The sequence below is a fragment of the Homo sapiens genome, chromosome 20 (assembly GCF_000001405.40).
Source record: "Homo sapiens chromosome 20, GRCh38.p14 Primary Assembly".
Taxonomy (NCBI): domain Eukaryota; kingdom Metazoa; phylum Chordata; class Mammalia; order Primates; family Hominidae; genus Homo; species Homo sapiens.
Window position 1 is genome coordinate 15,984,215 of NC_000020.11, and position 14,119 is coordinate 15,998,333.

At 34.8% G+C, this 14,119-nt stretch overlaps 1 protein-coding gene and 1 long non-coding RNA gene across 9 annotated transcripts in view, besides 2 other annotated features; one reads left to right on the plus strand and one right to left on the minus strand.

Moving 5' to 3' along the window:
• LOC613266 (uncharacterized) overlaps positions 1–1,668 on the minus strand; it is a 93,550-nt gene extending 91,882 nt beyond the window's left edge. The window contains exon 1 of the long non-coding RNA NR_130924.1: positions 1,289–1,668. This is a non-coding gene — a long non-coding RNA (uncharacterized LOC613266). The remainder of the gene's footprint in view (positions 1–1,288) is intronic.
• Positions 1–14,119, plus strand: part of MACROD2 (mono-ADP ribosylhydrolase 2) — a 2,057,682-nt gene that overhangs the window by 1,988,699 nt on the left and 54,864 nt on the right. For all 8 annotated transcript variants that reach the window (NM_001351661.2, NM_001351663.2, NM_080676.6 and 5 more), the window contains 2 exons: positions 2,513–2,587; positions 2,852–2,944. In NM_001351661.2, coding sequence (NP_001338590.1) covers positions 2,513–2,587; positions 2,852–2,944 — 168 coding nt within the window. The remainder of the gene's footprint in view (positions 1–2,512; positions 2,588–2,851; positions 2,945–14,119) is intronic.
• Positions 1,772–1,951: an enhancer, noted in NCBI's record as "active region_17559". NCBI's record gives its function as "activates an Ori minimal core promoter by ATAC-STARR-seq in GM12878 lymphoblastoid cells {active_cell/tissue: GM12878}" and the evidence as "EXISTENCE:reporter gene assay evidence [ECO:0000049][PMID:35858748]".
• Positions 2,012–2,061: an enhancer, noted in NCBI's record as "active region_17560". NCBI's record gives its function as "activates an Ori minimal core promoter by ATAC-STARR-seq in GM12878 lymphoblastoid cells {active_cell/tissue: GM12878}" and the evidence as "EXISTENCE:reporter gene assay evidence [ECO:0000049][PMID:35858748]".

Below are 14,119 nucleotides of genomic sequence, written 5' to 3' on the forward strand. Positions count from 1 at the left end.
GTGATATCTTTTTAACTTTAGCTAATATGTTTACACACAGAATTTTCTTTACAATTAACGTTTTAAAACTTGCTTAAATTTTTAAAACAATAATTTTTTTAACTTTTAATGTAGGTAAAAATCCACATTTTTATGTCCCTTTATAATTTTTTTACTAAAGGTATATTTTACTTTTCTTATACACCTTGCACATAAACTGTTTCTTTAATGGTACTCAGGAGGCCTTATTACTTTTAAATTATACAACATTTTTTGCATAAATTTTTTTATAACATTTTTTCTTTCACGACTTTTGCAGACAATTTTTCAACATGTCTTAACTTTTTGACTTATTACATTTTTTTCTTTAAACAACTAGTTAATTTATTTCAGGACAAGAATTTACTATATAACACTCTTTTTACATAAATTTTGCCTCCCCCCCCCGCCCTTCTCTTTTTTAAAGCGAACTTTCTTTATGTCTTTGGACTAGACTGTCTAAGGCCACAAGATTAGAAGTTACTATAATACATGTTACACTGTTAACTTTTAGCAAACTTCACTTTTGTTGAAAACCTTGTAAGTTTGGGATTTCAATTATCCTTTGCTATTAATAAGATCTTGTTTAGTCTGAATTAACTTAGAATTGGTATAGATGGCCTCTTTTTCTCTCTGCTGGTCTTTCCTTGCCTCTGCCAGCCACTTATGCTGCTGTTCTCTTAACTGCTGTTGGGGGGAAGGGGGTCTAAAACTAGCTGTAACTGTCTATGTACGGAAACTGGCCTGGGTGCCTTGGCTTACAGGTTACCTTGTGCCATACTTTTGAAACAAGGGACCTGTCCAGGCTTCCTTCTGATGGCCAACCTACCTCTAATGCTGGCCAGTCTATTTCACACAAAGTTCTAAGTTTTCCTGGTGTCACAGTAACACCGTAATCTCCTTTAAATTCTTTCTTGAAATTTTTTAACATAGTTCCTAGTAGGGTGGGCTTACTTACACCGGACCTGTTTTTGTTTTTGTTTTTTCTCCTGAGACAAAATACCATGCTCACACCACACACACTCACCACAAGACAAAGAACGGGTATGGAGGGCACACACACACTTTTACCATTTATAGTAAGCCAAAATCACGAAATTCAAAATCCGAGTTCCAAAAGATTCAAGACAAGTCAAAACCAAAACCAAAGTATCTAGCAATTCAAGTCAAGTCAAAACCAGAACAAAAGTGCCAATGCAGGCACACTGTGGGTGATCAGGCCACTCTTCCACTCAGATGGAGTGGGGCAAGTTCCAAAGACTAGTCTTACCAAGTTTCAGATGTCCGGACTCCAAGTGCCAGTTCCTTCCCAGTGTTCAGCCACTGTGTTAATCCTCCACGGGGGCCTGCTATGCGCTGCTCTGGCAAGGCGTTCCACTGGGGCAATTTCCTACCCGGGAGTGCTCTTTGGATCCTGTCACTCAGGCTGGCCGGAGTCCCCCGCAGGATGCTCCACAGGGCAGGCCTAAGCCGCCTAAGGGGCTGCCTCGGCTGTCCATCAGTTACCTCGTTTCCCCGTCAGGGAACCAAGAAACGTAGCAGGATTAGCCGCAGACAAAACTTCTCAGACACCGAGTTGTAGAAGGAAGGGCTTTATTCAGCTGGGAGCATCGGCAAGCTACTGCCTTAAAATCCGAGCTCCCCAAATGCACAATTTCTGTCCCTTTTAAGGGCTCACAGCACTAAAGATTTCACATGAAAGGGTCGTGATTGATTTGAGCAAGCAGGGGGTACGTGACAGGGGCTGCATGCGCCGGTGGTCAGAGTGAAACAGAACAGGGCAGAGAGTTTCACAATAGTCTTCTATACAATGTCTGGAATCTATGAATAACATCGGTTTCTAAGTTATGAGTTGATTTTTAACTACTGGGTTTAGGCCAGGCAGGCCCAGGCCTGGTTTCGGGGCTGGTGCCGGGCTGCCTGTCTTTGGTTTTACTTCCTTGTTTTTCTCTCAAAACAGGTACCGAGTATAAAACAATATAAAGCGATACGGGAGGGTCTCTCTCTTCCCTCAGAGCTGTTATCCCCCCAGTTCCCTTGTGCCCACATTACTCAAGTTTTTTATGCTCTGTTGATGGAAAAATGAAAGTGCAAGTAGTGTTTTCATTTTCTAGGAATCCTCACTATGGGAAATATTTGTATCTTAAAAGGAAATTAAATGTAGTTAACCCATACAGCCCAGAAATTATTGTAAAATTTGAAAATTTCCAGGTTGTGTCCTCTATCCATATCCTGTGCATTCATAAGCTAAGTAAGTATGCCAATTTTGCATCAGTTTCCAAAAAAAAGATTTTTTTCCTAAATTATCAGGATATTTCTCAGAAAATAATTGATATAAATCTGATGATTAGAAAAATTGTATCTTTGCCCTTTGGTTTCAAAACTGTTCTCTATCTCTCCATGCATGATTAAAGCACGGTTTCTGAAGGTCAGGAATAAAGCTACGGTCATGCATATCACATTTCTTTTATTTTTCAATCACTGTTTTGAACAGGACAAGAGAATGATTCAACGAAGAATGAAATAAAAATTGAAACAGAATCGCAGAGCTCATATATGGAAACAGAAGGTACTGAAACCAAAATATATTGTTATCAGAGAATGAGATGAAACTGTGAATCATGACTTCTATATATACCTGTGTGTGTGCGTGGTGTGTGTGTGTGTTTTAGGCAATGATTACTGGAGGATAGCAATAGTGTTCAACTTGGTGTACCTATTGAAACTTGAAGGGGGAAAAAAGAACTCTAACTTTCTATACCATAGTCACAGTATTCTCTCAATGATTCCAACTAAAACAACCCTGAGTGTCCATCTGTCTCATTCTATTTAGAACTTTCATCAAACCAAGAAGATGCCGTGATTGTGGAGCAACCAGAAGTGATTCCATTAACAGAGGACCAAGAAGAAAAAGAAGGTGAAAAAGGTAGGACTGCTCTTAAATTAACCCATCAAGAATGGAGAGTTTCTTTGGATTCCTGCCTAGAATTCAACCATCAAAGTTATTCTCATGCAATTACAGTTTGTAAAGGGGGAAAACGAACATTTCCTTAACCCCAAATCTCCGTTTGAAAGTAGAGTAAAATCTAGAAGTAGCAAAAGAAAATACTCGGAAGACTTATAGCAATTACATATAGCATAAAGATGTTTTTGTTATTCATTTAGATTCAATTTAAATTTTTAAAATTACAGTATTGAGAAAGCCTATAAGAAATCAAAACTATGGACTAGAGGGATAAAGTTCATACAAAATCTGAAATGGCTTTAGAGCAAATAGACTGGCCTTTTTGTATTGATTTCATCTGTCTTCCTTAGTATAGTAGTGATGAAAGAAACAATTTATGTAAAATATGCATGTTATATGAACCTAAATTGCAATCTTGCTTGCTAATATTAGGATGCAATCATATTGAATACTGTTTTAAAAAAAGTGAGCATTATAATGATTTCTGAAAACTCAAGAGGAATGAACACTCCTTAAATATTAAAGCAGCATTTGGGGCAAAAAGCCAATGTATTGGAGTGAAGATAGAAATATTTTTAAAAATGTGTTTAAAAAAACTATTCTGGTTAATTTAGTGTTAACTGAAGAACTTAAAGAATTCAATTTTTAAATATAAAGCAATCTCTTAAAAGAAGCTAATAAAATAATTTTTGTTACAGTATATCATAAATCATACTGCTCTTAAATAAATATGTATTTGCAAAGCAGTTGCAGAGTAATAACTTGACAGGCCTTGTTTATAGAACACAGTGATCAATTTTGTTTCCAAATTAAAACTCAGACATGATCTCAATTGTAAAATCAGGTCAATAGCAACTACAGCTTCCAAATTATGAACTCTTCTTGGCAGGGGCATTGACAGTTTAATTGCTAAACCATGTTAGAGATTTTGACACTTTTAAAATGTTGACTGCATTTACAGTACAATATTCTTCCATGTCTATGCCTCTAATAAGCTTTTCGCTATTGCAAATCCTAGTTCAGACTCACGACTCCACTTTCCTGTTAAGTCAAATAAAGGGTATATTCAAAGTTATTTCATGTCTAATATTGATAACTGAGAATTGAAACAACCCTTACTCAGAATCAGATATATGGTATTGCTCTCCTCAATTGTAGTTTAAAAATGTGAAATAGACAATGCTGTGCGTGTTAGCTTAATTTCTCTGTAGCAGAAATTGTTGGCTCTGTTTATTGCATTTCAAGAAATGCAAATGGTAAAGAGGAAAATCAAACAGCTGTACGTTTTCCTCTTTTGACTTGACCTATAAGAAAAAAGCTGGCATTCGGCACATTGACATGTTTCCCTTCTCCCAGAGCCTTCCCAAGCATTGAACACTACTCTGATGACTGAAGAATTAAATATCCACCTTTCCTCTCTTCCTTGTAAATATGCCAATCTTTTTCTGATAATGGTGGAATAGCATGTGGGAAAAAAGCAAGGTGAAATTCTGCTACTTGCTTTTAGCAACGATGAGGTTGAATTTCTTTATTAAAATTTGACTTTTCACTGTAAGATGACTAATGCTGGTAGTCTTGAATTAACCACATTTTCTCTTCCCATCTTTATCATAGATATTTCACTTGGTCCTGCCTTGAATATTTCTGGTGTTTAAATTTGAAATAATTTTAAGTGCATCACATTTGTCATCTTATACTTTGCATCCAAGTGAAAAGTACTCATAGGAAAAGGAGGCAATGTAGATTCATGGTGCTCTGCAGTAGCTCTGCTCCACCATTGACAAGCTGGGTGACTTTGGACAAGTTACTTAACCTATCTGCTTCAGGTTCTTCATCTGTAAGATGATGATGGCAAAAGTACCTGTCACATATAGTTATGGTGCAAATTTAATAAGTAAAACGTGCAAAGCAATTAAAACAATGCATGACACATAGAATGCACTCCATAAGTATTTAGTATTTATCATAATTTGATACATTGATGACAAAGTCAAGAAAATCCACATGTGATTTCCCCAAGTCCATTTATCATTCTTCTTCACTATTTTGAATCTGTAGAAAGTCACATATTTTACATTATCCTTCAACAACAACAACTGGTTCTATCCATTTGGTTGGCAGCACCATCTCAGGCCAGCAGTTTTGATATGGTCTAAACTCTTTACATTGCTGCGTATTTTATTCTAAAGAGATAAAACAACTAATAGAAGGAAGCCAGGTGGAAGGCATTTCTCTCCATTCATAAACACTTCCTTGTTTGTCAGTATCTCAATCTTCCATTTGAGAAATAAACACAACCATAACTTCTATTTTTTTAAAAAAGAAACCATTGAGCTGTTGATAGATCCACAAAAGAAAACTAGTAAATAAATTCAAAGTAGCAATTTTTTTTACTTTCTTTTTATTTAGTTATTAAAAAGTCTTGTTTGAAAACATTTCGAGGCTATAGCTCCAGATTTTGTATTCACAAAATAGTGTCTTAATGGAAAGTTGTACATATGTATTAGGAATTATCTGTAAACAAAACAAATGAGTATTTTATTACATTTGTAAAGATATTCTTTATAGCTTTAGAAGTATTCCTTCTCTTTTATTTTAAGACTCCTTTTAAGGAGGCAGAAAGTGATTCCTTTAAAAAAAAAAAAATCCAGACCAGGAAAAATATATAACCTTTTTCTCTCTTTTTTGTAGCATTTTATAAGATTAGAAAATGTAGATAATCTTCAGGATACATCTTCTATGGCTCCCAGGTATATGGGCACAGATGTTGCAACATTAAGTTTTGAAGTTAGTTCTATTAAAATATGGATTTTGAAAAGAAGGAAAAATATTCAGCAGAAGTTCATGCTGATAAAATTACACAATAGCACAGTGGACATGTCCCTGGGAGACCTGAAATACAAAAATTTCAACAGGCAGAAAGTGAGGTTTCACATATGGCAGCTTTTCTGATATAGCCACGTTGCCTCTTCCTAAATGAGCCCAGTTTTATGATTTCCCAGCAGGACCTGCAACACATATGAAATCCAGTCGAATAACGTCATTTAGGTTAATAACCAAATAGGAAAGTAATATTATAGAAGATCTCCTCTGAAAAGGATCTCATGTTTTAGTATAAAATATAAAGTCAGCATTAAAACATCTTTCTTACATTTGTTATTTGGGCAAATTTAGAAATATTTGACATAAAATCTTAACTATATCAACATCGAGTTATTATTTCACAAAATTTTCATATATGTTTTATTATGATATATATTGGATATTTTTTTCTCTAAGTGTTAAACAGAATGAATACATTTGGTCCCAATAATTTTTCATATCAATTAATAAGTGTAGTGTGGAATAGTAATCCTTTGTCTGTTTACCTAAGATTGAGCAAAATGTTGACAGAGACTTAAAGTATACTATGGTTTAATGTTTTCTTAGAAAAAGATGCATATGGGCAGGCATGCAAGTAAAGAGTTAAGTGCAAGCCAGTGACAAGTGTAAAGTATCATGCCCTTAGGTTCATGTTTTGAACCAAGCATGGTCTGACCAGCATGACCTTGAGACATAGTGTACAGACAGCCATGGCTTCTAGCCCTGCCTGTGTGATTCCTGGCAATCCTTAAACTTCGAAGAATCCCAGTCTCTAGGGTAATAATGAGGGGCATGAACTCAAAATTGCAATTATAAGGTTCTCCAGTTTTATAAATTTTCTTAGAAGGCCAACTCTGAAGAACCACATTCTTGGTGAAACAAGAGCGATGGCATGGGAGCCAATGGTCAGCCATGCTGAAAGCTGAAATCATAGGTTTTCCTCAGTTTTAGTTATTGTACCCTATTGATAAAAATATAGAGGTGCCCTAGGCCAGGCAAAAAAAAATCAGCCAAATATATTAGGACTTACCAATGATTGGACAGCTAATTATTCCCTAAAGATACTTTAAAGGGGGAGGGGAATGCCTTTTAGCTCAAGGTGGGTTTACACAGAAACTCTGCTCAGAACCAAGCTGGATTTCCATCACCATCTTTCTTAGTCCATGTGGGAAACATCTTTTTTTGCAACTCCTCTGGCTACGATTTCATCTTTTAGTGAACACATAGCAAGTGAGGGACTTTCTCTTCTGCTTCTACCAATCAAATCCATTAGAGGTTTATCTCATCTACAAAGCACCCCTGTATAGCCCTTGGTGTTTTCCATTTCTCATAGGATTCTTACATCACTGGCAGAGCCCTTTCTTCTCTCCTTGAAAAGCAGAGCTTGCACTAGCAGTGTTGCCATACACAGAATACCTGTGTATTACACAATAGCACAGTGGACATGTCCCTGGGAATAGAATACCTAACACTTGGGCCATCATATACAGACTGTGTTCTTGGCTATAAAGAATCATTGCTCAGGCATATTTTTGATTCATGCAAAATACTATATACACTTGCATGTTGAGTAACAAACTTACTGGAACATTCTACCTTCAGAAAGTCTTTGTATCTCTTTTCAAATGAAGTCAAGTTTAGTAATACTATATTATTCATATTAGCAGCACAATCATTTAGTTTTCTAGGGCAGTTTTACCATTTGTTTTCTTCTTTTTTAATAATATTTTGAATCTGAAATTCAACAACCAAAATTATGTTTTAGGATATCAGTTAAATTAAAAATGCTGGTCTCTGTTTGGGTTTTATGAATATTTTAGTATCTAATGAAATTCCTCATATTGGTTAAGTACCTTGAACATAAAAATTATAAAGTTTTAAGCTAAATTGTTTAGGTTTTCTACATGTCTCTATGTATGCAATGTAAACATATAGAACCAGTTCATTCAAATTATGCTGCATAACTGACCTATAATTTTAAAGTTAAAAAACATAGAAGAATAAAAGGTATATTCACTGCACTTTGTCTTGCACTTTGATTTCTTGCTACAATAATGATGTTGGTGTGGATAGCATATATGCATGTGTATATGCGTAAAGTTAGATTATACGTGTATAAAGTTCACATGTATCTACCCAGTAAGAAAGTTATGCAGGCCTCTTGAGTTTGTTCAAATCCTCTAGCTTGCTGCAATCATCTTGTCTTTAAAGATTTAGAAAAAAATTGCCCTGAAACTCCATTTTTCATGTTAGGAGAAATCTATCATTCCTTCCAATATCTCTGAGAATTCTTTGGTGTCAGGTTTATTTCTTCTAATCTCAGGCTCCAAGCTCCTGCCTCTGGTTCTCACTTCAGCCTTTGCCATTCCTTTTTTCGTAAGCTGTCTCTAGTTCTCACTATGGCTCCCACTCAGACACCACCACCACCTCTCATCCCTTCACTCCGTGCAGTACCACAAACTCAAGGATGTGTGTAGGTTTAAGTGAATGTTAGGGTCAATACTTGTAATTAACTTGTGCTTGCCCATCTGGGGAATTTTAAGAGACCATCTCTTCTAAGTCTCCAGCATCCGGCTACATCCTGTATCGCCCTTTGTCTTCTTTGATTTCTTGCACTTCCTAACACTCCAGTTTCATTTACAGTTTAACTTTGTATCATGCCTGTGTCCTTCTGGTCTTGCCCTGAGGTGTATGATTCTACAACCATGTGGCTTATCAAACCACGTGGTTTATCAAAATAATTTGCAGAAACAAAAGATGACTCACATAAGTGGAATTCTGTCTTTAAATATTGAGCTTTTTACTCCTCTCTGCCGAATTAGAGTTCTACAACTCAACTCTCTGTGCATAAAGTACCTGAATTTTTTTCACAACTAATAAAAAGATTAATGTGTACCTTCATCTAAACATAATATTGTTTTACATATATGATCCTGAAATACTTCAGAAAATTAACCTTCTCTAAAGATAGTGAGTATAATTATTAACATTTGTTCCTTATATTTAACTTCCTTCCAAAGACATTATATAATGCTAAATTGAAATTTTCAGAAAGATAAAATTATGGCTGTCATACAACTATAAAATCAATACAAGTAAAATATTTTATTTAAATGATTAACTAGTAAGGGAATCATTAAGATGTTAAAACTGGTTCAAAGGAGAATTTGAAGAGTGTGTGTGTGTGTGTGTGTGTGTGTGTGTGTGTGTATAAAATCCATCTATCATCTATACAGTGACATTTTAGTCAACAACAGATCGTATATGTCCCGGTGGTCCCATAAGATTATGATGCTACATTTTTACTGTACCTTTTCTATGTTTAGTTATGTTTTGACATACAAATACTTACCATTGTATTATAATTATCTACAGTCTTCAGCACAGTAACATGCTGTATGGGTTTATAACCTAAGAGCAATAGACTACACCATATAACCTTGGTATGTAGTAGGCTATACCATCGAGGTTTGTGTAAGTACACTCTATGATGTTTGCATCATGAAATCACCTAGCAACATATTTCTCAGAATGTATCTTCACCTTAAGCAATACATCACTGTATATTGATTAGGAATTATGGCTATATGGATATACACATGGATCCATAATACACACACATTCAGAAACACTGAATATATCCATACAATCACACACAATTCAGGAGCACTGAAAATTTCCAAACTGGCTAATATCATACAGGACAATACAACATATCCTTTCCTTCTATCAGACAAAATTCGTTTTCACTGATATGAACAAATCTCATTTTCATTACTACAAGTTTTCTACATGTTACCTTCTACCTGTACAGATGTGTAAAATAGTCTAGTGAATAGAAAGCTGGTCAAAGGAATACACCCTCATAGAACCAGATAATCCCACAGAGGGATTATCTGGAGGGTGACACCCAACCTTCCACCCCAGTGACACCCAGGGATCTCTTTTATCCATTGTCAAGTCTTAGACAATTTTTCTTGACAGTATACTGAAGGCAAAACTGCCCTTTTTTTAACCTGTTTACCACCTCACTTATTTGTTATTGTTCACTATTTGATACATTTGATAGACAGTGATAAAATACTAGGGTAGTATCAGAGTAGGGCAGTAGCTTCCAACTTCATCTGAGGTTGTAGTTTACTTGCTATTGTTTTATGGCAAGTACTGCTATTCTACATTTTATATAGTTGTACACACACTGTAGATGAAGTTGTACTTCTAAGATGCCTCAGTTGTGAGATGTGCCATTATTTTACATATTATTAATAAATTTTCTAAAATCTGGCTTATTAAAGTAAGACACAATAATTTTGTATCATTTAGGATTTTTATTTTATGTGTTTAAAAAAACTCTTCGAACAAGATGTAGAACGTTTTCATATATCACTCTTGAGAATACATAAAAAGAAAATGTTAGGCTAAAGGAATTAGTTATGATACTGCTAAAACTTCATCAGGTTCAGGGTCCTACTTCTAAATCACTTTCAGTCAAAGTCATCAATATCTGTTTTTATTACACAATATTGTCCTCTGCCAATGTCTTTGATGGTTCAGAACTTAAGAGAATTCATAAAGAATTTAAAACTCATTGGCTTGTAAGTCTCTTAAGACTTAAGTCTGTCTTGCTATCATATAGAGAGTTAGCCTATTTTTTCTTTTTTGCTTCTACTTAGAGGCAGTTAAAACACTCCTGACTCACCACCTCCCTCCATATTTATTATTTTTCAGAGATTTTCACCTAAGTCATTGAAACTCATTCTGCAAGTTTGAGTACTTTTGGTTTTGATGCTAATGCATATATGGGTATGATAAATTGTATCATCGTGTCCTGACCAACAAAAATTTTGTAACAATTCACTGTTTCAAAGATGTTAAGATGTGAAAGCAGTGTACTTTATATTAGGAAATATAGTATTATTTATTTCACAGTGAAAACTACTACACTGAGACTAGAAAATGGAAACTTGATTACAAGTGATATAATTGAGTATATTTGATATACTCAATTGATATATAATTGAGTTATTTTTTTTCTACTAACTCTAATGACTAGCAGTGGGATCCTTACTAGCACATCAGTGCACCCTACTGCACATTGTATAACTAAGAAAGTCATAAATGGTTTTATTCATACATTCCACAAATGCTTTTAATGCACATGTAATATGTGCCAGAAATTATATAGACACTATCACTGAAACTGAGGAAAACAGACAAAGCCACTGCTGGGCTCATCCCAAGCATAGAGCTCAGGATGTAAGTCTTTTTTTTTTTTTAACTTTTTATTTTATTATTATTATTTTTTTTGGAGATGGAGTCTCGCTCTGTCACCCAGGCTGGAGTGCAGTGGCGCGATCTGGGCTCACTGCAAGCTCCGCCTCCCAGGTTCACGCCATTCTCCTGCCTCAGCCTCCTGAGTAGCTGGGACTACAGGCGCCCGCCACCGTGCCCGGCTAATTTTTTTGTATTTTTAGTAGAGACAGGGTTTCACCGTGTTAGCCAGGATGGTCTCGATCTCCTGACCTCATGATCTGCCTGCCTCGGCCTCCCAAAGTGCTGGGATTACAGGCATGAGCCACTATGCCCGGCCTTTTTTTTTTTTTTTTTTTTAACTTTTTAAGATTCCTCATATAAATGAGATCACACAGTGTTTGTCTGTGTCTTATTTCACTCAGCATAATGCCCTCAAGTTTCATCCATGTTGTCACAAATGGCAGGATTTCCTTCTTTTTATGGCTGAGTAATATTCCATTATACATATATATTCCATTGTATACATATTATGTATACAAATGTGAGGTGTGTGTGTGTGTGTGTGTATGTGTGTGTCACATTTTTCTCTATTTATGCATCTATGGGCACTTAGGTTGTTTCTGTGTCCTGGATATTATGAATAATGCTGCAATGAACACGAGAGTGCAGACATCAAGCTACTGATTTCTCTTCCTTCAGATATGTAACCAGAAGTGGGATGGCTGGATCATTTGGTAATTCTATTTTTAATTTTTTGTGGAATCTCATACTATTTTCCATAATGCTGTACTAATTTACATTTCCATTAACAGTGTAAAAGGTTCCCTTTTTTCCACACCCTCACCAACACTTGTTAGTTCTTTCTTGCCTTTTTAATGAAACTCTCCCTAACAAGTGTAAGGTCATATCTCATTGTGATTTTGATTTCCAATTCCCTGATGATTAGTAATGTTCAGCACCTTATCTCATATCTATTGCCCATTTATAAGTCTTCTTTGGAAAAATGTCTACTGAGGTCTCGGTATCAACATAATGCTGGCCCCATAAAATGAATTTGGAAGTCTTCCCTTCTCTTCAGTTTTTTTGAAAGAGTTTGAGTAAGATTGTCATTAATTCTTCTTTAAATGTTTGGTATAATTCACCAGTGAATTAACCTGGTCCTGGGCTTTTCTTTGTTGAGAGGTTTTTGATTACTGACTCAAACTCTTCATTGATTTTTGGTTTAATCAGATTTTCTTTTTTAAATCAGGTAATCTGTTTTATTATAATTCTTATATGTTTAGGATACTAACCCCTTATCATATAAATGGTTTACAAATATTTTCTCCCATTTTATATGTTGCCTTTTCACCTTGTTGATTATTTCCTTTTCTGTTTAGAAGCTTTTTAGTTTAATGAATATCTGTTTATTTATTTTTGCTTTTTTCACTTGTGCTTTTGATGTCATGTCCAAAAAATCATTACCAAGACCAACATTGAGAAGTTTTTTCCTATGTCTTTTATGTGAGTTTTATGGTTTCAGGTCTTACATTTAAGTTTTTAATCTATTTCAAGTTAATTTCTGTGAGTGGTATAAGACAGAAGTATAATTTTATTCTTTTCTATGTGGGTATCCAGTTTTCCCAGCATCAGTTATGAAAGAGACTATCCTTTCACTGTTGTGTGTTCTTGACATCCTTGTCAAGTATTAATTGACTTTATATGCATGGGTTTATTTCCGGGATTCTCAATTCTGTTCTATTGGTCTGTGTGTCTGTTGTTGTGCCAGTACCATACTGTTTTGATTACTATAGCTTTGAAATGTAGTTTGAAATCAGTAAGTGTGATGTCTCTGGCTTTTTTCCTCTTTCTCAAGATTGCTTTGACTATTTGGGATATTTTGTGTTTCCATATGAGTGTTAGGATTGTTTTCTTTTTTTATGTGAAAAATGCCCTTGAAATTGTGATAGGGATTACGTTGAATGTATAGATCGATTTAGGTATTTGGGCATTTTAACAACATTAATTCTTTTGATTCATAAGTATGGAATATCTTTACATTTATTTGTGTCTTATTCAATTTTCCCATCAATATTTTACAGTTTTCAGTGTACAGATTTTTCACTGCCTTGGTTATATATATTCCTAAGTATTTTATTATTTCTGATGCTACTATAAATGGATAGTTTTCTTTATTTGATTTTCAGATATTCATTGCTAGTGTATAGAAATGCACCTGATTTTTCTGTTGATTTCGAATTCGGCAAGTTTAATGAATTTATTAGTTTTAACAGTTTTTTGTTGGTGTCTGTAAGGTTTTTAATAAGACTATGTCATCTATAAACAGAGAAAATCATAATTCTTCCTTTCTGATTTGAATGGCTTTTATTTCTTTTTCTTGCTTAATTGCTTTGTTTAGGACTTCTAGTTCTATGTTGCATAGAAGTGGTGAGTAGGGGCATCTTTGTCTTGTTCTTGACCTTAGAGGAAAAGCCTTCAGCTTTTTACCATTGAGTATGATGACAGCTGTGGGCTTGTCATATATGGCCTTTATTATGTTGGAGTACATTCCTCTTACACTCAAATTGTTGAGTGTTTTTTTTCCTAATCATGAAAGAATGGTTAATTTTGTCAGATGCTTTTTCTGCATATATTCAGATGATCATAAGATTTTCATCCTTCATTTTGTTAATGTGGTATATCAGATTTATTGATTTCCATATGTTGAACCATCCTTGAATTCCAGGTGTAAATCCCTCCATCCTTCTAAACTGCTGTTGAATTTGCTAGTAATTTGTTGAAATGTTTTCTATCTATTTTCATCAAGGGTATTGGCCTTTAATTTTTATTTCTTGTAGTGTTTCTATCTAGCTTTGGTATCAAGGTAATGCTGGCCTCATAAAATGAATTTGGAAATGTTCCCTTCTCTTCAATTTGTTTGGAAGAGTTTAGGTAAAATTGGCATTAATTCTTCTTTAAATGTTTGGTAGAATTCACCAATGAAGTAATCTGGTTGTGGGCTTTTCTTTATTGGGAGGTTTT